The sequence below is a fragment of the Homo sapiens genome, chromosome 3 (genome assembly GCF_000001405.40).
Source record: "Homo sapiens chromosome 3, GRCh38.p14 Primary Assembly".
NCBI lineage: Eukaryota > Metazoa > Chordata > Mammalia > Primates > Hominidae > Homo > Homo sapiens.
Window position 1 is genome coordinate 36434947 of NC_000003.12, and position 22374 is coordinate 36457320.

General features: G+C 42.5%; 1 protein-coding gene and 1 long non-coding RNA gene across 11 annotated transcripts in view; one reads left to right on the top strand and one right to left on the bottom strand.

Annotated features, from left to right (window-relative positions):
* The window catches only part of LOC124906227 (uncharacterized), a 119636-nt gene extending 100205 nt beyond the window's left edge, over positions 1–19431 (bottom strand). The window contains exons 1-2 of the long non-coding RNA XR_007095868.1: positions 19410–19431; positions 12192–12316 (exon numbers count right to left, since the gene is read on the bottom strand). This is a non-coding gene — a long non-coding RNA (uncharacterized LOC124906227). The remainder of the gene's footprint in view (positions 1–12191; positions 12317–19409) is intronic.
* Positions 1–22374, top strand: part of STAC (SH3 and cysteine rich domain) — a 167504-nt gene that overhangs the window by 54443 nt on the left and 90687 nt on the right. For 7 of the 10 annotated variants that reach the window (XR_940496.3, XM_047448767.1, NM_003149.3 and 4 more), the window contains one exon: positions 8418–8694. Coding sequence is in view for 8 of the 10 variants with exons in the window: in XM_047448767.1 (XP_047304723.1) it covers positions 8418–8694 (277 nt within the window). In the remaining 2 variants the exon portion in view is untranslated. Of the gene's footprint in view, positions 1–7083; positions 7259–8417; positions 8695–22374 lie in introns of those variants that run through there. The other 3 variants (XM_017007083.2, XM_011534037.4, XM_047448771.1) reach the window with 3 other exon arrangements.

The following is a 22374-nucleotide window of genomic DNA, read 5'->3' on the forward strand; positions in this document are numbered from 1 at the left end:
TTTACTAAGAGCACATCAAGGGTGGGATACCTTATGAAAGTCCATTTGGCTTTAAGAGCTTTGGAGACAGAGAGATCTGTATGCAGATCTTCATTCTGTAACTTGCTAGCCATTTAACTTTGGGCAAGTTGCCATTTTTCTGTTTTCTCATCTGTAAAATGAGGAAATAACCTAAAATGAACACTCTGAGCTACCTTCCCATCCTACCACGGTACATTACTCTAGTCCATTCACCCTCCCCTGTCTCTGAAATGGTTATTCCACATCTCCCTCTTTCAACTCTGGACATCTCCTCCCTCCACCTCCCACTGTCTCTGACTCAGGAGACAGACTTTTTCTCTTTATTCACTGAGAATAAAGAAGCAATCAAAAGAGAAAAGCCACATCCAGCCAATACCAATTCCACCAACTCTTCTCCATCTTTCTCCTTATGGTGGCCTGCCTCACTCCAATTTAAAGGCAACCCTTCTTCTCAACTACCCACGGACATGGCTCCAGCATGCCCCTTTCTCTCTTATGCATCGTCAGATTTAATACATGCTGGAGTAAGCTCCTGTATTTAAACAAAACATGACAGAAAAAAAAAACTCCCTGGATGCTACATTTCCCTTCAGATATTGCCTCTTTTCACTAATCTTCTTTATAGCAAAGCTTCTCAAAACAACTGTCCATGTTCATTACCTCTGCTCACTTTTCTTCCAGCCGTCCTCTCCTGAAACCTCCTCAGTTAGGTTTTCACACTCACCACTTCACTGAATCTACTATTATTAAGGTCCTCCAAAGACATTCCCATTACCAAATACAATAACCAATTCCTAAACCTCTCCTTACTTGACGTTATTATTTAAGATTCATTTCATGCTTTTGGCTATTCTCTCTTCTTTGAATCATTTTCTTCCCTCAGCTTCTAACACACTCCTCTCTTTGAGTCTTCTCCTTCCTCACCAGCCTTTCCTTCTCAAGTCCCTTTGCTTGTCCTTACCAATCTTCTTGTCCTCTAAATACTGGAATGCCCCAGAGTTCTGTCCTCAGATCACTTCTCCTCCATGTCTGCACTTCACTGCCTGTGTAGTGATTTCATCTAGTCTCATGGTTTTAAATACCATCAATATGCTAATTACTCCCAAGGTATTACTCCAGCTTGGACCTTTCCCTGGAATCCCAGAATCATATATCCAGCTGCTTAACTGGCAGTGCCACTTGAATTCCAAATAAGCATTTCAAACTTATTCAAAACTCAACTCCAAATTCAGCCGTATCTTACCATAACTATACAAGGCCAAGCTAAAATTACTTCTGATCAGGATTATCGCAAGAGTCTCCTCTCCCAACTTGTCTCCCTGTTTCCATCTTGCCTTCCTACAGTCAGTATTCCACACAGCTGCTAGAGTGACCCTTTTAAATAAAAGTCAGAGCCTGTCACTTCCCTGTTCAAAACCATCACCCTTAGGATAAATTCCAAAGCCCATGCCATGACCTACAAGGTCCAGCAAGAAGCTACCCTTGACATCTCTGCTCTTTCTCTCCCCCATCGTTCTTAACCAGACGCACCGACCTCCCAGTGCTTCTCAGATACCCTGCCCTTGATCTCTTGTTGGGGCCACTGCCCACAATGCTCTTCTCCAGCATAGCTCAAACACTCACTGCTTACTTCATGTCTCTGTTCCATTGTCACTGGTTAGAGAAGCCTTCCTTGTCACCTTCTAATGCCCAGCTCTAGCCTTATTTTCCTTTGTACCTCCTCTCCCTGTCCAAATTTATATTATTTACCACTCTGATTATCTACCTATAATCTATCTCCACCCACTAGACCTTAAAATTGACAAATGGGACCTAATTAAACTAAAGAGCTTCTGCACAGCAAAACAAACTACCATCAGAGTGAACAGGCAACCTACAAAATGGAAGAAAATTTCCGCAACCTACTCATCTGACAAAGGGCTAATATCCAGAATCTACAATGAACTCAAACAAATTTACAAGAAAAAAACAAACAACCCCATCAAAAAGTGGGCAAAGGACATGAACAGACACTTCTCAAAAGAAGACATTTATGCAGCCAAAAAACACATGAAAAAATGCTCACCATCACTGGCCATCAGAGAAATGCAAATCAAAACCACAATGAGATACCATCTCACACCAGTGAGAATGGCGATCATTAAAAAGTCAGGAAACAACAGGTGCTGGAGAGGATGTGGAGAAACAGGAACACTTTTACACTGTTGGTGGGACTGTAAACTAGTTCAACCATTGTGGAAGTCAGTGTGGCGATTCCTCAGGGATCTAGAACTAGAAATACCATTTGACCCAGCCATCCCATTACTGGGTATATACCCAAAGGATTATAAATCATGCTGCTATAAAGACACATGCACACGTATGTTTATTGCGGCACTATTCACAATAGCAAAGACTTGGAACCAACCAAAATGTCCAACAATGTTAGACTGGATTAAGAAAATGTGGCACATATACACCATGGAATACTATGCAGCCATAAAAAATGATGAGTTCATGTCCTTTGTAGGGACATGGATGAAATTGGAAATCATCATTCTCAGTAAACTACCGCAAGGACAAAAAAACCAAACACCACATGTTCTCACTCATAGGTGGGAATTGAACAATGAGAACACATGGACACAGGAAGGGGAACATCACACTCTGGGGACTGTTGTGGGGTGGGGGGAGGGGGGAGGGATAGCATTAGGAGATATACCTAATGCTAAATGACGAGTTAATGGGTTCAGCACCCCAGCATGGCACATGTATACATATGTAACTAACCTGCACATTGTGCACATGTACCCTAAAACTTAAGGTATAATAATAATACAATAAAAAAATAAAAATAAAAAAACTCACTTATTAAAAGACAAAAAAAAAACCTTAAAAGGAAGGTTTTAATCCTCTTTTTACTGCCGTAGCCCCCAAATCAAGGTCTATGCCTAGCTCAGAGCAGTACCCATGATATTCATTGAGTTATTATTATTATTATTATTATTATTATTATTATTTAGATGAGTTTGCCCGGGCTGGAGTGCAATGGTGTGATCTTGGTTCACTGCAACCTTGCCTCCCAGGTTCAAGCAATTCTCCTGCCTCAGCCTCCTGAGTAGCTGGGATTATAGGCATGTGCCACCACACCCAGCTAATTTTGTATTTTTAGTAGAGACAGGGTTTCTCCATGTTGGTCAGGCTGGTCTCGAACTCCCAACCTCAGGTGATCCGCCCACCTCCCTAAGTGCTGGGATGACAGGCGTGAGCCACCGCACCCGGCCTGATTGAATTATTTAATGAATGAATGATACCCTATCCACAAGGTTGCTAGGATGATTACATGAAGTAAATGATATAGAGTAGTTTCAAGTACATGGTAAGGTTCTGAAGAATATCTGTTTCTTTTACCATTATTATTATAAACAAAATGGAGCTGGGCCATGGCACTGGTACATGGAAGCTAATCATTTTGTAACATCTGTAACATTTTGTAACATCAGGGTTTGCTTCTATTTCTGCATTTCATATGTTCTCATCTGGCCTCTGCTCTTTTAGGGATAATTAGAGAAAGCATGTTCCTTTGAGTTCATGTCTGGGGCTTAATTTAACTTGTAGGTATTTCTTTTAAGATTCCCACTTGAACAAGTCACATTAACTTCCAAAACAAATTCTCCAGCTCTAGAGGCAGGCAGGGTCCGATGGCTTCATACAATTTCCAAGCCACATCCCCCAGAGCAAGAAAAATGTGGCAGGTTTCCTGGCATCATACTTGAACATCATACATAAACTTCCAGGGAACACAGAACACCACACCACATATGACGAAGGGTTTGAAAGGAGAAGTAAAGCACATGAGCACAGGAGGGAGACAAGATTGGATGTGTGTAAGCATCCTCCCCGTCACTTTCCCTGTCCTGGCAGCAGAGGCCAAGCAGTGACATTTGATGCTTTCCTTTGATAAACAGGGCATGCATGCTCTTTTATCACTTTTTAGAAATTTGAAATATATAAAATGAAAGAAATAGTTCCCCAAAAAGCAGATTTGCTTTCCTGCTCCACATCCTCACTGATGGCCAGAAGTATTGTCATCTCCCTGGAGGTGGGTGATGACTCTCCTCCACTCCTCCATCCATCCCCTAAAGACCCACCAGCAGTGGAAAGAGCATGGGGACGGGGATTGGAGGAAGGCAGATTCAATTTGAACCCTGGTCTTGATTCACAGAATCTGTGTGACCTTAGGCAAGTTGCTTAACCACCCTCAGCTTCCATTTCTCCAGGGGTAAAATTGCATCTTCACTGAATGGTTGGGAGGATTAAGATAGGTCGCCTGGTGAAGCACTTAGCTCAGCTCCGTATTCCTAGCTCCTTGGTTCCCCACTTTTGTCCCCCATCATCCACCATCCACTTATATCCTGTGGAGTTCTCAGAGGGCTCTCCCACACATTATCCTCTGTGTCCTTCATGACAGGGTGGGTGTTATTCTGATTTTGAGACATGAGTAGTCAATTTATTGAATCATCTGAACTCAGTAGGGAGCAAACAGTAAATGATTTTGATTTTTCTGTGTGATGGTGTTTACTTTGATAAACCTCTCCCTGAGTTGCACATCCCATGACAAAACCTTGGCAGATTCTTTACCTTCCTGTTCATTTTAATGTATTAAATGTCCTTCTAAAATAAAACTCCAGTCTTACCTCCTGTGTAAGCCTCCCTTCCTCCAGCATCAGTCCAGTTTATAGCCTGAAGGACTTGAAGTGAAGAGGGTCTGTACTGCTCCTTTGCTGCATCCAGGTCCTCACCTCAAAGTGGCTCAATCTCAATGAATGATTGTCTCATAGCCCCTTCTCACTTAGCTTTTTCAGAGATGAGGTGTCCTCTTCAAAACCAATGCTATGCTCCCAAGGACACAGGACTCACTGCCCTGTATCCATCAAGATACACTAGCTTATGCCTCAGCAACAAGCAACTCCACAATAACTCAGGGACACCTCCTTCTTCCCCCTTCTTTGACAGTTCTGACTCCTCTGTTAGTTTGAGCTGTAGGGCAGAGGGAAAGGGACAAAAGTCTTAGCTGGCTCACTCTTTCTGACCTTTCTGCAGGTTGTTACAGCGTCTCTGGCTAGCCTTTTCTAGCTGATGTTGCCCTATTAGCAGCCCTAGTGGGGCTTTTCAGAGGGCTTTGCAGGGCCTCTTTTTTGTATGGCTCCCTGAAGTGGACAGCTGGCTTCACACAACCACACCTGACTTCAGGAGGGCAAATAAGTACAATCCCACCACATGCATAGCATGCAGGAGGGTGGGGAGAACAGCATTGTACCAGTTATCTATTGCTGTGTACACGCAATAGATACCTAATTTAATGACTTAGAACACCAGTCATCTTTTTAGTTGAAGAGTGTGTGGGTTGACAATTTGACAAGGACTCAGCTGGACAGTACTTCTGGTCCATCTAGACTCCCTTATGCCTGCAGGACAGCAGGGTGGCTCTGCTTCTGGACTCTATCCTAGAGTGGCAGGGAATTGACTGGACCATGTGTCTCATAATCCTTCAGGCTACATTGGGCAGTTTGGTAGGTTTCTAGAGGGAGGACAGAAGTATGCAAGGCCTCTTAAGGCCTGGGCTTGGAACTGCCTTAAAATTACTTCTGCTGCCTTCTATTGGTTAAATTTCAGAAATCAACAATATTCAAGGAGTGGGAAACTAGGCTCCACTTTTGATAGATTGAGATGCAAATTCACATTGCAAAGTGCCTGGATAAGGGAAAGGGGAGAGAACTGCAGTCTTTTTGTAGTCTACCCCAAACACTAATGACCACCATATCTTCCTGGACTTTTGAAGTGGAACTTAGGGGGTTAAGACAGAGGTGGCTGGGCTTGGCAAGGCCATGTAAACTTGCCTGATATATTGTGTAGGGGGAGTCTGACCACACTTATGGAGACCCTTATTAGACAAGAGTACTGAGCACCATTTGTTTCTTTTTCTCTTTTTAAATTACTTTTATGATTTTATTTTTAATTGACATAAAATAATTGTACCTATTTATGGAGTACATAGTGATTTTGTAACACATGTAAAGTATAGTGATCACATCAGGGTAATTAGCATATCCATAACATCAAACATTTATCATTTTTTTGTGTTGGGAACATTCAAAAGTATCCTCCTTCTAGCTATTTGAAACTATATAATGTATTGTTGTTAACTATAGTTATCCTACAGTGCTATAGAGCACTAGAACTTATTCTTCCTATCTAGCTGTCATTTTTTAGTAAAAAATCTCTCCCTATCCTCCCTTCTCCCTGTGCTTGCCAGTCTCTAGTATCCTCTGTTCTACTTTTAACTTCTACGAGATCAACTTTTTTTAGCTTCCACATATGAGTGAGAACATGCAGCATTTAACTTTCTTTTCCTGGCTTATTTTATTTAACATAATGTCCTCCTGTCCCATCCATGTTGCCACAAATGACAGAGTTTCATTCTTTTTTATGGCTGAATAGTATTTCATCATGTACATGTACCATATTTCCTTTATCCATTCATTGTGTTGTTGGACCCATAGATTGACTCCATATCTTGGCTATTGTGAATAGTGCTACAATTAACATGGGGGTGCAGATGTCTCCTCAGTATAATGATTCCCTTTCCTTTAGATAAATTCCCAGCAGTGGGATTGCTGAATCACATGGTAGTTCTATTTGTAGCTTTTAGAGGAACCCCCATACTGTTCTTCATAGTGGTTGCACTAGTTTACATTCCCACAAACAAAATGTCTATGAGTTCCCTTTTCTCTGCATTTGTTATTTTTGTCTTTTTGATAACAGCCATTGTAACTGGAGTGAGATGATACTTCACTGTGGTTTTGATTTGCATTTCCCTGATGATTAGTGATGTTGAACTTTTAAAATATATTTGTCAGCCATTTGTATGTCTTCTTTTGAGAAATGTCTGTTCAGATCATTTTCTCATTTTTAAATTGGATTGTTTGGAGGTTTGTGTTTTTTTTGCCATTGAGATGCTTGAGTTTCTTGTATATTCTAGATATTAATCTCCTGTCTGATGCATATTGTGCAAATACTTTTTCCCATTCTATAGGTTGTCTCTTCACTCTGTGTCAGTGGGGATAGTGCCATGCACACAGCAGATCTCACCCCCACAGCCTGGATCTGCATGATCCATTGATCATAAGAGAGACTGGTCCATCATTGCATTGCAGTTCTAGAAACTAAAACGATCACTTTCTTTCAAGACCAAGAGTTTATGGAGCAAAAGTGCTGACAGCTTCTTCCAGTTTCCTTTGCTGTGTAGAAGCTTTTTAGTTTGATATCTGAGCATCTTTTTTCTGCAGCTCTGGGCCATACATGTTTATTCCAGGCAAAAGAAAGAACTCCCATGGATATTCAATTACAAAAAGAAACCACCTTAAAGGTGAAGTGACTTGTTGCTGGGTGAAAAGAAAAACTATGTACTAAGGACTAGGGATGAGAAAGCAGAGTAAACAGGAGAGACTTTTAAAAGGCCACTGTGGGGATGGACAGAGCAAGGTGCACCATGGTGCAAGCTGTCATCAGAGTCCAGAATCTTCCAGTTCCTGGAGCCAGAATAGAGGGGTAGATTAAACTCAAACCCAGTCCTGCCAGAATCTTGTGCTTTTCCAAACCTGTTTTGGTGCTTTTTTATAAGTCCCAGAGGCAAAGGAGAAATGGTCTAGTTTGTCATGGCCAAAACAAGAGGGAGGGCAGCAGGAAGAGCAGATAAAGTCAAAAGGATAATACAATATGTCCTATGTCCTACACACACACACACACACACACACACACACACACACACACACACACACACACACACACACACAGAGGTTACTTATCCATATGCTTCAGACCCAAGCAGACTTGAGAGTTCCTGGTTTGTGTCCTGTGGATAGTTTAGCGAGATGGATTTTGAGCCAGACAATAGACTCTTCTGCTTTGCTGTGTGCAGAGACAAGTGGCTGTTAAGTGATCATAAGAGAGAAAGGCCAGCTTTACACATGTAGCCTTTGAGCCCATGAGTTTGTATACTTAATATTTCCAATGATTCAAATTCAAAAGGCAAATTATATCAAAATCCAATGTGGTGGGACACTTTTACAGCACACTGGTAGGACTTTAAGGAGGCAGGGGAGGAGGAGCAGGGGCAGAATCAAAGGCAAAATAGGACCTCTTTCTGCTCATCTGGCTTAGTGGCAGGGGCGGGGGAAATTCCCTCTTTACTAGGCACTGCCATCACCCCACCCACACAGGGACATTTATGAGCCTCCTCAAGACGGAGGGTGTCAGTGGGGACTGTGTAGTGCACACAGCAGACCTTACCCCCACAGCCTAGGTCTGCTTGATCCATTGATCGTAAGAGAGACTGTTCTGTCATTGCATTGCAGCTCCAGAAACTAAAACGATCACTTTCTTTCAAGACCAAGAGTTTACGGAGCAAAAGTGCTGACAACTTCTTCCAGCGAACCAACAGCGAAGACATGAAACTGCAAGCACACATGGTGGCTGAGATCAGCCCCAGCTCCAGCCCACTCCCTGCTCCAGGAAGCCTGACGTCCACACCCGCCAGGGCTGGTCTGCATCCAGGTGGCAAGGCTCATGCCTTTCAGGAATACATCTTCAAGAAGCCCACTTTCTGTGATGTCTGCAACCACATGATAGTGGGTAAGGCCTCCCACCCCTTTCTCCAGATCCCAGCACCCCCGGAAAGCTGAGTGAGAGTGGTGTGCCACGGGTCCAGGTACCTACGGACAGATGCTAGGCCTCAGAGATTTACATGTGGGAAGATCATTCAGGAGTGCTTTGGGGAACAATATTTGTGAGAAGGTAAGGGAAGCAGCACTGGGTAGTGGGAGAAGTTGGGTTGTGATATAGTTGTAATCAGGACTTCAGCTGATCCCCTGTAGATCCCTAAAGCCCTTTAGCGTGTTCTTGCATTGAGGCTCGAGGTCTGGGTCTTTGAACACCTGCATCAGCCTGTCACTGTATATGGGCAACAAGTGAGACCTGGAATGCTTGTTGCTTCCCCAAAAAAAAGCCGATGTCTGTCATATGTGCATGGTCATATCAGTGACATCCAATATGGCCTGGAAGTCAGGGTTCTGCAGTTCTCCTTACCCTTTGCCAAGGCTCAGTTAAGGGGTAGGATATTCAAAATGGTGGGCAATATTAACCCTTCTTACAATCACACACAAGGCTTGTTCTTGTTTTCAGAAAACCTTTATGTACTCATGTTCTCATGGTCTAGTCCCTATGACTCATTTTCTTCTTTTAAATGGCCACATTTAGGAACAGTGCTTGTATCGGTCAAAGATTTCCACCAGAAAGTTGCCTAAAAGCCACCCTAAAAAGTAGTTTTAAAGTGCTGAAAAGTTTAGAAGTTCTTTAAAAATGGCCATGTTTTACTCTCACTCAGGCATCTTCAGATCAGCTGAGATTTGGCTGATCCAGACTCAGCTTTGTTATTGCATCTTCTCTCTACTCCTTATCTCCTGCTCTCTCCTTGAACCAGTGGGCTAGTCACATCATGCACTTCTCATGGCGAGGACAACTGGGAGCATGCAAAGCCTCTTAAGGCCTTGGGCCGGAGGTGGCACACTGTGACTTAGTCTACTGGCATTTCGTTAGCCGAATTAAGTTATGTGGCCAAATCCATAGTCAAGACAGGGGCAACCCCCTAGCCCCCACCTGCCGTCTCTAGTAGCAAGGACTGCAAGCCACCTGACAAAGGGCTTGGATACAGGGAGGGGTGGAAAATGGGCTCAATATGTAATCTACCATTTAGGATGCTCTCTGGATTACTGATCTTTTTTTGTTTGGTAGAGTCTGCTAAGTCTTGGCGCTCCCACCCTTCTACTTCACATCTCCATACGGACTTAATGCCTAGCATCTGACTGTCAGCTTGGGGTTGCTGGGCCGGGGGCGATGGAGGGTCTCATCACGTCTCATGCTCAACAATACTTCAGACACTTCAGCCTCTAACTTAGTTTCTGTGCCTGCCTGGCTTCTGAATCTGTGTCACTTTCAATTTCCACACACATTTCCACCAGGCCTTTTCAAGGCAGTGTTATTCATAAATAACCCTTAAATAGGTGATGATGAGCCTCTATTTTAGATCTCATTGTGATGAGTGTGAAAAGACAGAGGATGTGTTTTTAAAAATGAGTAACAGAAATGAGTTCACCTCTGAGGAATGTCATAGTCATTACCCTAAAGAGGATTCTAGGTACATCTCAAGTACAACAACAATTTTGAAAGACTCTATTTTGAATATCACTAAAAAAAATGTCCTATGCTAAAGAGAGTTGCACTGCACTTTTCTCTTGTCAGAAATAAATTTACATTGCAGCTGCCATTTTATCTTTATAAAGAAAGAAAAAAAAGAATCAACGAGTCTCACTGCTCTTTTCAAGGACAGAAACAAAATAAACCAAATATTAGGCTCCTTTCAGGAAAGAACAAAGGGGTTTAGAAAGGGGATATGGAGCAGAAGGGAAGGGGAGAGAAAGAAAAGGCGGGAGGAAGGAGGTGAGAAGAGGAAAAGAAATGGAGATGAAGTAGGGGCTGGTGTATGCTCTAACTTCCTAAAACAATAAATAGGGTATTTTAATTATCTGATAATGGAGCACAATTGATCTGCCTCTCTCGCTTTCTTGACCCTTCAGACATAGCATTCTGTCTCCATATAGATTACCTAAAGATTTCTTTCCTTCAAGCCACACGTTATCCTCATATTCTAGATTTTAGGGAAAGACTACCTGCTATTATCCCCTTAGAATGACATCCCAGAAAAGATATTAAAGCTGTTTGTTTTTTCCTTTCTACTGGGAACCAAAGGCTGTATAATGATAGCCAAGAAGAATCAAACCTCATCTGTGCACTTTCCAGCTGACAGATACTTCTTTAAAAATAAAATGAACCTGACACCCTCCGTGTACACTCACAGTTCAGTTTACAAGGACTCACATTTGCGCCTTCCCAACACCTGTGCCTTGAAGATGGAAAGGCCACACCCTTGCCATAAGATCCCTGATCAATAAAAGTAGACCAGGACCCCAGTCTCATCCAGTGCCCATCCATTTCTAATTTTCTTAGCTTCTTATTGCCAGCTAGGCCCTTGCCCTTGGACTTGATGCCTGAAACTGCTACTTACCAGGCTCTCAGACCTGTTGTGTTAAGCAGGCACCGTGGCATGCCCTCCAGCTAACCTAACCTTGCCTTCAACACACTGCTACCCTTTATGATCATCTCTTAAGCTATCCCTTCCCAGAAACTTTGGTCACCTAAGCAAGCCAAAGATGCTCAACCCAGCTCTTCATGGAGACATGAGAGAAATAGGCAGTTAGGTGTGTCTGTCAGCTTCAATGCTGAATGCCCCTGCCTTTGAGTCACCAGGACTCCATACTGAGTCTTAGTCTAAGAGACTTCTGAGCTGTCTCTTGTACTTGGCTAGAGGAACATACTTCCTCCACCAAGCAGATCCACTCTTAGGCCTTGACAATCAGTTAGGGGTGGGAGAACTCAGCTTCACTGTGTATCACCTAAATGTATTCCATTTATGGCATTCTATCTTACATTGAATTAACTGTCTACAATGACTCATTTCAGGAAAGCATTAAATCTGTGTGATAATCTGCATCTCACTGAAATTTCAAAGACTTCAACAAGTCAACATGTACTATTAATATAACTAACTCAATGCATGAGTCTACTTCATCAAATAAGGAGATGTTTCTAAGGGACTCCATTCTGTTTATTGCCAGATATCTTGTTTCAAAAACTATTTTTAAATTAACTAAATGTTTTTAATTGAAATTCACTTAGAAGACACAGCATATTAAATGGAGTCGTATTTCCTAAACAGATATTTCGAAAAATGTATTTCATTGCCTAAAATTTCAAGTTTCTTCATACAGTTGCTACACAAAGAATCATTCACTTCCATAACGGCATCCATTGGGGGAAATAATAATGACAATGTCTTAGGAAAGCATCCCTAGAAGTAGGGCCTGAGATGGGGTGTCTTATGAAAGGGATTTGTTGTGGGGAGTGCCCTCAGCAGAAGGAGAGTCAAAGAAGCAGGAGAGGCAGGCTAAGTAGCTAAGCAAGGGTGTGGTCTCAGCTGGAATCTGCTTCCGACTGATTCCACCGAGTGGTCCTACCTTCAGACAAAGGACTAGCCTTTGTACATTTCTGTCCCTCAGTCATTGGCTATGTCTGCCCCCAGGAAGTAGTGAGAGTGCAGCATTCCAGGCAAGGAGCATCCCTCTTGGCCAAGGACAGCTCCCTGGAAAAAAAAGGGGGGCATCTGTGAGTCATTGGCTGCCAACACTCACAGCACTAGAATGGTAAATAAGATCAAGACAAGGGTACACTATATCTGTGAACATACTTTAATGCTACAAGATGAAGTATAAAACACTCCCCACTAGGAACAAATTTAAAATGCAGATGAACCTTGCAATTGCTGTACCTAAAACATTATATTGCCATTATAATGAATAATATATCATGAGAAAATACTACATTACACTGAGTCCCAGACCTTCCTGCTGGGCTGTTGTTTGACCATTAGGTTGTTTTCTGACCTATTCTGACCTCATCCCATTGCTCAACAAAGCCATAAGCCATTAATCAAACCTTGAATGGAAAAACTATATATATGTATACACACCACACACACACACACACACACACACACACACACACAAAGACATTGAACTAAAAAGACAAAGCAATGTTTGCTCATCAGTGAAGTTGTCTCTTGGCAAGAAAGGCCAAAGATCAAGGGGAATATTAAAAAGTAAATGTCAACTCTGGGCATTCTTAGAATGAAATTGAATCTCTGAGGTTCTGTCCATCATTTAATTGAAGTTGTTTTAGGAGGTGTACAGCTTGTAAATAATAAAATACAAATGCTCTCTAAAACTTTTATTTTTAATGTTTCACATAGATCCTCTCCTTTGGGCCATAGTGTGTTTCCATTTTAAAATGCAGCACCCAGAACTCAGTAGTTTGCCCAGTGCAATTATTAATCTCTGGTGTCCAGAACTTTGCTGCTACTTTACTACTACAGGACAAAAAATGCAGTGTAATGTCTGGTCCAACAGATGCAAATAGTTCCTTTCTCTTCTTTGCACATTCGGCCCACTTGAAAGAATCCTACTAATTATGGTCACAGAATTTTATTTTATTTTATTTTATTTTATTTTACTTTATTTTACTTTATTTTATTTTACTTTATTTAACTTTATTTATTTATTTGAGATGGAGTCTTGCTCTGTCGCCCAGGCTGGAGTGCAATGGTGCAATCTCAGCTCACTGCAACCTCCGTCTCCTGGGTTCAAGCAATTCTCCTGCCTCAGCCTCCCAAGTAGCTGGGATTACAGGCAGGTGCCACTGTCCCTGGCTAATTTTTGTATTTTTAGTAGAGACGGGGTTTCGCATGTTGGCCAGGCTGGTCTTGAACTCCTGACCTCAAGTGATCTGCCCACCTCGGCCTCCCACAGTGCTTGAATTACAGGCATGAGCCACCGCACCCAGCCTGGTCACGGAATTTTAAGTGAAAATAAGTAAAGCTGGAACATAGTCATGCTAAGGAGATGGTGACCCAGCAGATAAGGAATGTTTGCAGGAGGTGGCAATGTTTGGCCTGGAAAAGACTTTGAAAACTGTTATCTTCAAATAGTTGAAAAGATCTCATCTGGAAGAACGTTTAAACTCACTTGGAGTCCCAAGTGCAAAATGACAGATGATACTGTGAGGCAGAGTTCAAAACACTAAAAAGAGGAGTTTCTTAAAGCAGTTTCAGAAGTAAGCTCCACTGGCACAGTAGCTTGCACCTGTAATCTCAGCTACTGGGAAGGGTAAGGTAAGAGGATAGCTTGAGGCTAGGAGCTTAAGACCAGCCTGGGCAAAACAGTGAACCCCCCCCCCCACTCCCGACCCAGTCTCTAAAAAAAAAATAAAATGAGTAAAATTAAATAGAATAAAGTTAGCCAGGCATAGTAGCACACACCTGTAGTCTCAGCTATTCAGGAGGCTAAGGCAGAAGGATCACTTGAGCCCAGGAGTTCGAGGCTACGATGAGCTATGATCACACCACTGCACTCCAGCCTGGGCAACGGAGTGAGACTTCATCTCTTAAAAAAAAATTAAGAAAGAAGATGTAGGCTCTGTGGATTAGAGGAGGGGATAAACTATGTGCTTGGAAAATGCTGTCTAGCCTACCCCCTTTGGATATTCACAGCACACATTAGCATTTTGAAGTCCTGCCATCCTGAAAACAACCCAGGTGTTCTCAGTGGAGAACAGAGGCAGTGGGACGAATGGATTGTAACTAAGGAGTTCTCTATCAACAGCTACTTTTCCGTAATTCCATTTGGCTGCTATTGAACACAATTTGGCGTGTATCTCCTTAATATACATAATTCAGAGAGAATTTCTAACACTCGCAAGGGCAGATTCATTAAAGAGTTGTTAAGACTTCAATATAAGGTCCATCCAGTGTTCTCACAGAGATTATTAATTATAAATGACACACATGAACATGTGGCTTGTACACAGCACCTTTCAACTAAAAAAAGCACAACATACTTTTAAGTTAGTGTCTGCTATTATTTTTCTGAAATTTTATGCCTGCTGCCAAGTACTGTGTATTTTAAGAAATCTCTCATTGAAAATTACTTAAATGAAACAGTAACCCACAATCCTTCCAGCAAAGATTGAGCAAAAATTGATGCTGGTAGACTTCAAGGAGGACGTATCCTAGAGTCTCAAACAGAAATGGAAGTGACACTCTTTAGGGGATACTGTTGTGCTCTGGAGCATTGCGTGTCATCTTAAAAAATCCTTGAGCTGCCATCAAAAGAGAAGACAGGACAAGAGGAAGTGAGGAGGCCTGCTCTTGTTCCCATATTTCCCACTGCTCTCCCACAAGTATTCACTTCTCCATGGAATGTCCTAATAGTATTTTCTGGGCCCATTTTTAGCCATTTGGCTCTTCCTACTGGAACATCTGAATGCCCTTCCTTCCTACTCTATCTTTCTATCAATCCAGTCCTACATCTATCAAGACCCAACTAAAATGCTTTCTGCAGTTCTATGGTGATCACTTATTTTCTCTGAATTTCCATGTTATTTACAGTGTAGACTTTGGTAAGCTCCTTGAAGACACAGCCAGCTCTAATTTATGTGCCTATTCCCACTGAAGCTACACAGCATACACCTGGCACACAGTGATTATTTTTAAAACAGTCATTAGTAAATGGGAAAAAAAATAGTTTGCCTTCAAATAAAAACAACAGAAATAGAAGCAAACTTAAGCAAAAATAGAAGAACAACATGGAAACATTTTCTGATTTTTCTAAAAGTCACTCCCAAGTATATCAAGGCTCCAGCCTGCCCAAAAGGCAGCCTGACACAGATACCCTCTTCCCTCATCTGTCATCTTTCTCTTGATTTCTCCTTTGTGTTGCATATTTTAATGCAAAGACACTTGGTGCACAAAGGTCATAATAAGGATATCTTCACTGTGAATTATATCCATACCCAAATAAAATGGCATCCTATCCAGAGTCTCGCTCTGTCACCCAGGCTGGAGTGCAGTGGCACAATCTTGGCTCACTGCAACCTCCACCTTCCAGGTTCAAGCGATTCTCCTGCCTCAGCCTCCCGAGCAGCTGGGATTACAGGTGCCCGCCACCATGCCTGGCTAACTTTTATATTTTTAGTAGAGATGGGTTTCACCATGTTGGCCAGGCTGGTTTCAAACTCCCAAATTCGGGTGATCCACCTACCTCGGCCTCCCAAAGTCCCGGGATTACAGGTGTGAGCCACTGCACCCGGTCAGTGGCATCTCATCCCATTTAAAGCTTCTGTCATTAATTCTACTTTAATAATAAGATTTCCACCTTAGTTTTTTTCATGTTTGTTTGATAGGCCTTTATCTACATTTACACTCAGCCTTTTTTGTCATGTTCTGTAAGTGCTTCTTTTGAAAATAAACAGAATTTGTTTTTAGATTTCTTTTTTGCCCAACCTGAATTTTTATTCTCAAACAGAAGAGGATTTGCATTTCTTGCCATGAGTGAAATATTTGGCTTTCCTTCTGTCTTATGATTTACATGCTTTCTAGCTTGTGTTTCCTTCCATTTTGTGTGTGTGTACTGTGTTTCACATGTGGTTTCTGTGTTCTTTCTTTTTAATAGCTTCTCATCTTTCGGCAGATATATAATATGTTCTTCTACTAATAATTACCTCTGAGAGTTTCAAAAAACATTCTTTATTCTACATTTCTCAAATTATTAAAAAGTAAAAATAAATATGGTATTTTGTTCCCCTATGATTTCAGATAAATTTACCAAACTTTTCATCTCAACTCCCACCTCCCTAGCAACAGTATTTCTCCTTCCTGTTTTTGCAGATTAATCCAGATTTTAAAAATCAATTCAGATTTTTATTGTTATTTCAGTGTTTTATAATTCATACTTTTGATTGAGAATAAATCTTAAGATATATACAAATTTTATAACAAGATTTATACATCTTGTTAGATATTTCTAGCTTTAACCAGTTTCAATATTCACCACCATTCTATTCTATTACTATATAACTTCCCAATTCTTTTTCTTCTTTTCTTTCCTTTTCATTGATACATAATAATTGTACCTATTTATGAGTTACATGTGTTATTTTGATACATGCATACAGTGTTTAATGATCAAATCAGGATATTTAAGTTATCCATCACTTCAAACATTCATCATTTCTTTGTGTTGGGAATATTTCAAATCTTCTCTTCTAGCTGTACTTAACTTCCCTTTTCTTAAGCTCTTTGTTTTGTTTCTCAGTTGTTCAAAGTTTATTTTCAGTAATATTTTATCAAGAAGAAAACGTGAGTAGCAAATACATAAGGGAGCAAATTGTGATGGATCCCACTTGTTTAGCTAATGAGTCTCTTGCAGGTGGGGGCAGATTGGTGAGCAGAGATTAACTCAGGGCTTTCTGCTGGCTTTACTCAGATCCACTCTTTAGCATTGTTTCCCTGTCTGCTTTGCTCTCACTGAAGTTACTAGCACATTCTTGCCTTTTATATTAGTCTATAAAACCTAAAGACCTGGGCACTGCTGCTTTATGTTAGCAATTAAATCAGCTGCAGTATCAGGTCTGTCCTTCACTGCCTCTAAGAAGGATTTGGATTGTGAGATTTTATTTTTTGCTTCCCTATACCCCACACATCATTTCAGCATATTTTTAAAATTTCTTCTTTTGATTCCTTTATCATACTATCTGATTCTCTTGTATTTTATTGCCAACCACAAGCAGATGCTATTTATAATTGCCTTTTGTTTAATATAGTATAACCTTTCAAGGCATGTCTTTCCTTATGGCATTGTCTAAAGGGGTAAAGGAGACAGGTTGTGTAATGCAGTCACATAGACTGGCACATCGCAAATGTGACAACATAAATTCCAGAGGGCAGACACCATGGTGTGCTGTGTTCTCTGTGTTCTCTGGAGTGTCCTTAGCACTAAGCCCGGGACCTATTTAATAGTTGGCCAATATGAATTTGTTAAGTGAGTGAATGAGTGTTCAACCAGCAAGAAATATTATCATTAGAAATATGGTTATGATCATTTTTATGATACATAAGGCAAAATACCAAGAATTAAGAAGGTAGAATTGCAGATAACTCAAATAATCATTTATCCATCACACATGGACTAAGCACCAACTGTGTGAGGGGCCCTATACTGATATCTGGGAACGCCAAGTCTGACATCATCATAAATTCAAGTGAGAGACTGGGAAGTAGCAAAGGAAAGGGGAATAGACATTACCTAGAAAGTGGCAGAAAGGAGGAGCCCCTGCCACTATAAGCCGAAGGCCTGTGGGGCCTCCTTCCATGACTGACTCTTCAGTTGTAGGTGGGCAAGGTGGGCTCAACAAGCCTTCTGGTGCTCTCCCTGGCCTTCCAAGGCCATCCCACCCAGACCCCTATCCAGGTGATCAGACCGGAATGTCCTAAAGCCAAATTGCTAATGGGAGGATATCTGAACCCCATTTTGGGTACCAGTTTGTGGAAGTTGGGAAGCCAAAGGAACTGTTGGAGTCTAGTTTATCTCAATGACTTTGGTCATCGTACTACCACATATTTCTCTAAATCTGTTTTTCTTACTATGCATATGAGAGGTGACAGCGTGCTGGCAGTCCTCACAGCCCTTGCTCGCTCCCGGCGCCTCCTCTGCCTGGGCTCCTACTTTGGCGGCACTTGAGGAGCCCTTCAGCCCGCCGCTGCACTGTGGGGGCCCCATTCTGGGCTGGCCAAGGCCGGAGCCAGCTCCCTCAGCTTGCGGCGAGGTGTGGAGGGAGAGGCGTGGGCGGGAACCGGGGCTGCGCGCGGTGCTTGCGGGCCAGCGTGAGTTCCGGGTGGGCGTGGGCTTGGCAGACCCCGCCCTCGGAGAGGCCGGCCGGCCCCACCGGCCCCGGGCAGTGAGGGTCTTAGCACCTGGGCCAGCAGCTGCTGTGCTCAATTTCTCGCGGGGCCTTAGCTGCCTTCCCGCGGGGCAGGGCTGGGGACCTGCAGCCCGCCATGCCTGAGCCTCCCACCCCCTCCGTGGGTTCCTGTGCGGCTGGAGCCTCCCTGACGAGCGCCGCCCCCTGCTCCACGGCGCCCAATCCCATCGACCACCCAAGGGCTGAGGAGTGCTGGCGCAGGGCGCGGGACTGGCAGGCAGCTCCACCTGCAGCCCCGGTGCGGGATCCACTGGGTGAAGCCAGCTGGGCTCCTGAGTCTGGTGGGGACGTGGAGAACCTTTATGTCTGGCTAGGGGATTGTAAACACACCGATCGGCACTCTGCATCTAGCTCAAGGTTTGTAAACACACCAATCAGCATCCTGTGTCTAGCTCAGGGTTTGTGAATGCACCAATTGACACTCTGTATCTAGCTACTCTGGTGGGGACTTGGAGAACCTTTGTGTCCACACTCTTTATCTAGCTAATCTGGTGGGGACGTGGAGAACCTTTGTGTCTAGCTCAGGGATTGTAAACACACCAATCAGCGCCCTGTCAAAACAGACCCTCTGGGCTCTACCAATCAGCAGGATGTGGGTGGGGCCAAATAAGAGAATAAAAGCAGGCTGCCCTAGCCAGCAGTAGCAACCCGCTCGGATCCTCTTCCACGCTGTGGAAGCTTTGTTCTTTCGCTCTTTGCAATAAATCTTGCTACAGCTAACTCTTTGGGTCCACACTGCCCTTATGAGCTGTAACACTCACTGCAAAGGTCTGCAGCTTCTCTCTTGAAGCCAGCAAGACCACGAGCCCACCGGGAGGAAGGAACAACTCCAGACGCGTCGCCTTAAGAGCTGTAACACTCACCACGAACGTCTGCAGCTTCACTCCTGAGCCAGCGAGACCACGAACCCACCAGAAGGAAGAAACTCCGAACACATCCGAACATCAGAAGGAACAAACTCCGGACACGCCACCATTAAGAACTGTAACACTCACCGCGAGGGTCCGAGGCTTCATTCTTGAAGTCAGTGAGACCAAGAACCCACCAATTCCAGACACACATATATGCTAATCTTAGAAAGACATGGATACTATCTCCCCTCTCCACTCCATCCTTAAACATCTCATGACTATTAAGAATGAGAAAGGGACCAAGTGGCAAGAGAACATCTTCATATGCATACAACTTTCCAGAAAATAAAAATTTGCCAAGTTGTCAGACACTGCTTGTATCTTATCAGTGTAAGAAAAAAAAATACAGAACTTCCTTCCTGTAAACTGTTTATTTTACTATTAATAGTAATTGACTGAAGTCTTATATGATCAAATTCAGGGAGGGGGGAATATTTTTTAAGTCAGCCAAAGGAAAGAGGCTGTCTCTCTCAAATTACAGCTCATGATGTTTGCAAGTGCTTTGGTGATTTCTTGAACCACTGTGTAGAGATGATCTTTCAGGAAAGTAATGTTTTTCCTGCCCCTAAAAAGAGACTTGTATTGTAGGAGCCTTTTCAGATCATACCTTAGCAGAAAGAAGTGACCCACAGAAACATATTTTCAGTGACTAAATAATAGACCAGAAAGGGGAGAGTGTCTGATCATTTAAGGTGGTCTTTTGTTATATTTTTAGTCATTCCCTAGAGTTCACCAAATTGACACTATTTAGTAATATCACAGCACATATATTCTGAATACATATTTTCACGTTCTTCTGAGACAAGTTGTGTTTCATATATTTTATCCCTGTTCCATCCAGGAAGAAATAGAAATATTGCCCAGGTCAGAAGGACAGGAGGAGAAATTATCTGAGGTGGAGTTTTGGTGAAGTTTGAGGTGGACAGAAAGTAGACACAGCAATGAATCCTGGATGCACTTAAGAGTTTTCTTTACTTGAAGCTGCAAAGCCTTTTCCTGCCTGTGATATTGCTGATTCCTGCCTTCCTGCCTAAGGTTCAGACCAAGCCATGACAGACAAAGTTGAGAGGCTGCCTGCCTTTTGACTCATTCTTACTTCTGTGTGTAAAGGCTAGGAATCCACAGGAATAGGACATCTGCAGCTATAAACACAAAGAAGATGGAGACCAGTTGGAAAATGTCATCCTGCACTATCATTCAGCTGCCATAACAGGGAATGCTCCACTGACCTACTTTAGAATGGTCCTCTTTGTTGTGCAGCCACAGTGGATACCACATCATAAAATGACAGAACTGGGCCGGTAGTATAAAATAGGGCCGTCCTTTGTAAATGTCTGGGACTCAGTGAAACAGGCAGGTGTGTGTGTGTGTGTGTGTGTGTGTGTCTACATTGTGACCCACTTATTAAGGATAGAGGGAAGAGAAATATATGGTTAAATCCTGTTAAAGTGTTTTCTCCATAGCTTATCAAACACTATCTGATTGTTCAACCACAGAAACAAAGCAAGTATCATTCTATCACATGTTAAGCATAGCTTGGGAAGAAAATGCAGAAGCATATGGCAACCCTGCAGCCCCTGCCTCAACAACATTATAATAAATAAACATAGGAAGGCCCATACATACACATGTACATGTATGTGCATCACATACACACACGTGCGCACACACACACACACACTCCTGCCTCCAGTCAGGGAAGTATGTTTCTGTTGTCATAGCAAGACTGTGGTTTAAAGGGTTCATATCCACTTCAGCCTGTACCAGATCCTTTGCAATCTAAGATCCAGACACCATCCCTTCATTTATAATGTCATAAAGAGAAGTGCCAAGAATCACATATAATTCAAACTGATGAAGGACGATGAACGAGCCTGACTCTGTTGACCTGAAAGAACTATATCACTTTGCCTGATGTTATCCTAATATTTCTGTTTGTACGGAGATTTCAAGGAATTCCTTCTGAGTATCTATTTTCTTATTTTAAAAAATAGAAAAAAGACACCTATCTAATAGGTGTGTTGTCAAGTTTAAATGAGCCAGTACCCAAATGCAGTCGTGCTCAGTTATTAGTAACTTTCAAGGCACTTTGCTTCTTCCCTGTCTTAATGCCTTGCTCCCTGCTGTATAGGGACCATGCGAAGCTGCTGTGGGCCTCCCTGCTGTCTGGAGGTCTAGTCTCTTACATCAACTGCCAGAAGTTTGCTGCCCAGATGCCTTCTTGGTGCCAAAATGCTTAAATACATCCACAGTGAGACAAAGCATCTCCTCCCTCAGTAAAACTTGCCACTTCACTGATGTTCTCTCTCCTCTGAGGGCAGATGGCACCTCATCCTCAGCTACCTGGCCCCTTTATTGATAAATCCCTTCCATGACCACAGTGTCAGTGCTACTTCTGTGGCTTTTCTCTCATTGGCACCCACTTATCTTCCCCACAGCTCCCACCCTGATTCAAGCTTTAGTACATTTCATACAAACTCTTTCAAGAACTTCCTAAATTATGTTATTTCCCTCTGTCTATATCTCCTCATCCACTTAATATACTGCTGACATATCTCTTCTGGAAACAAACTGACGTCACATTACTGCTTTTCTCAAGAATATTTGCACTACCTCATTGCCCGAAGAATTACGATCATGCTGCCTAGTTTGACTTGCTCAAACCTCCGGTAACTAACAAAGGTTAAGTAAAAACTTTGTCTCATTGGATTCATAGAAAGTAAAACTTTGTTCAGTGCCCCTAACAGTCATCAACAGTGCCACAGGTGATCATCAGCAAATGGATCATCACAAACAAACAAACTCAAAATATAGACCTGCAAGAGACAGGAGAGAGGCAGGATCATGCCAAGGAGTCAGAGGGTTGGTGGATCAAGTGGTCTTGGACAACTGATTTACCTTCTCTCAATCTAAGTGT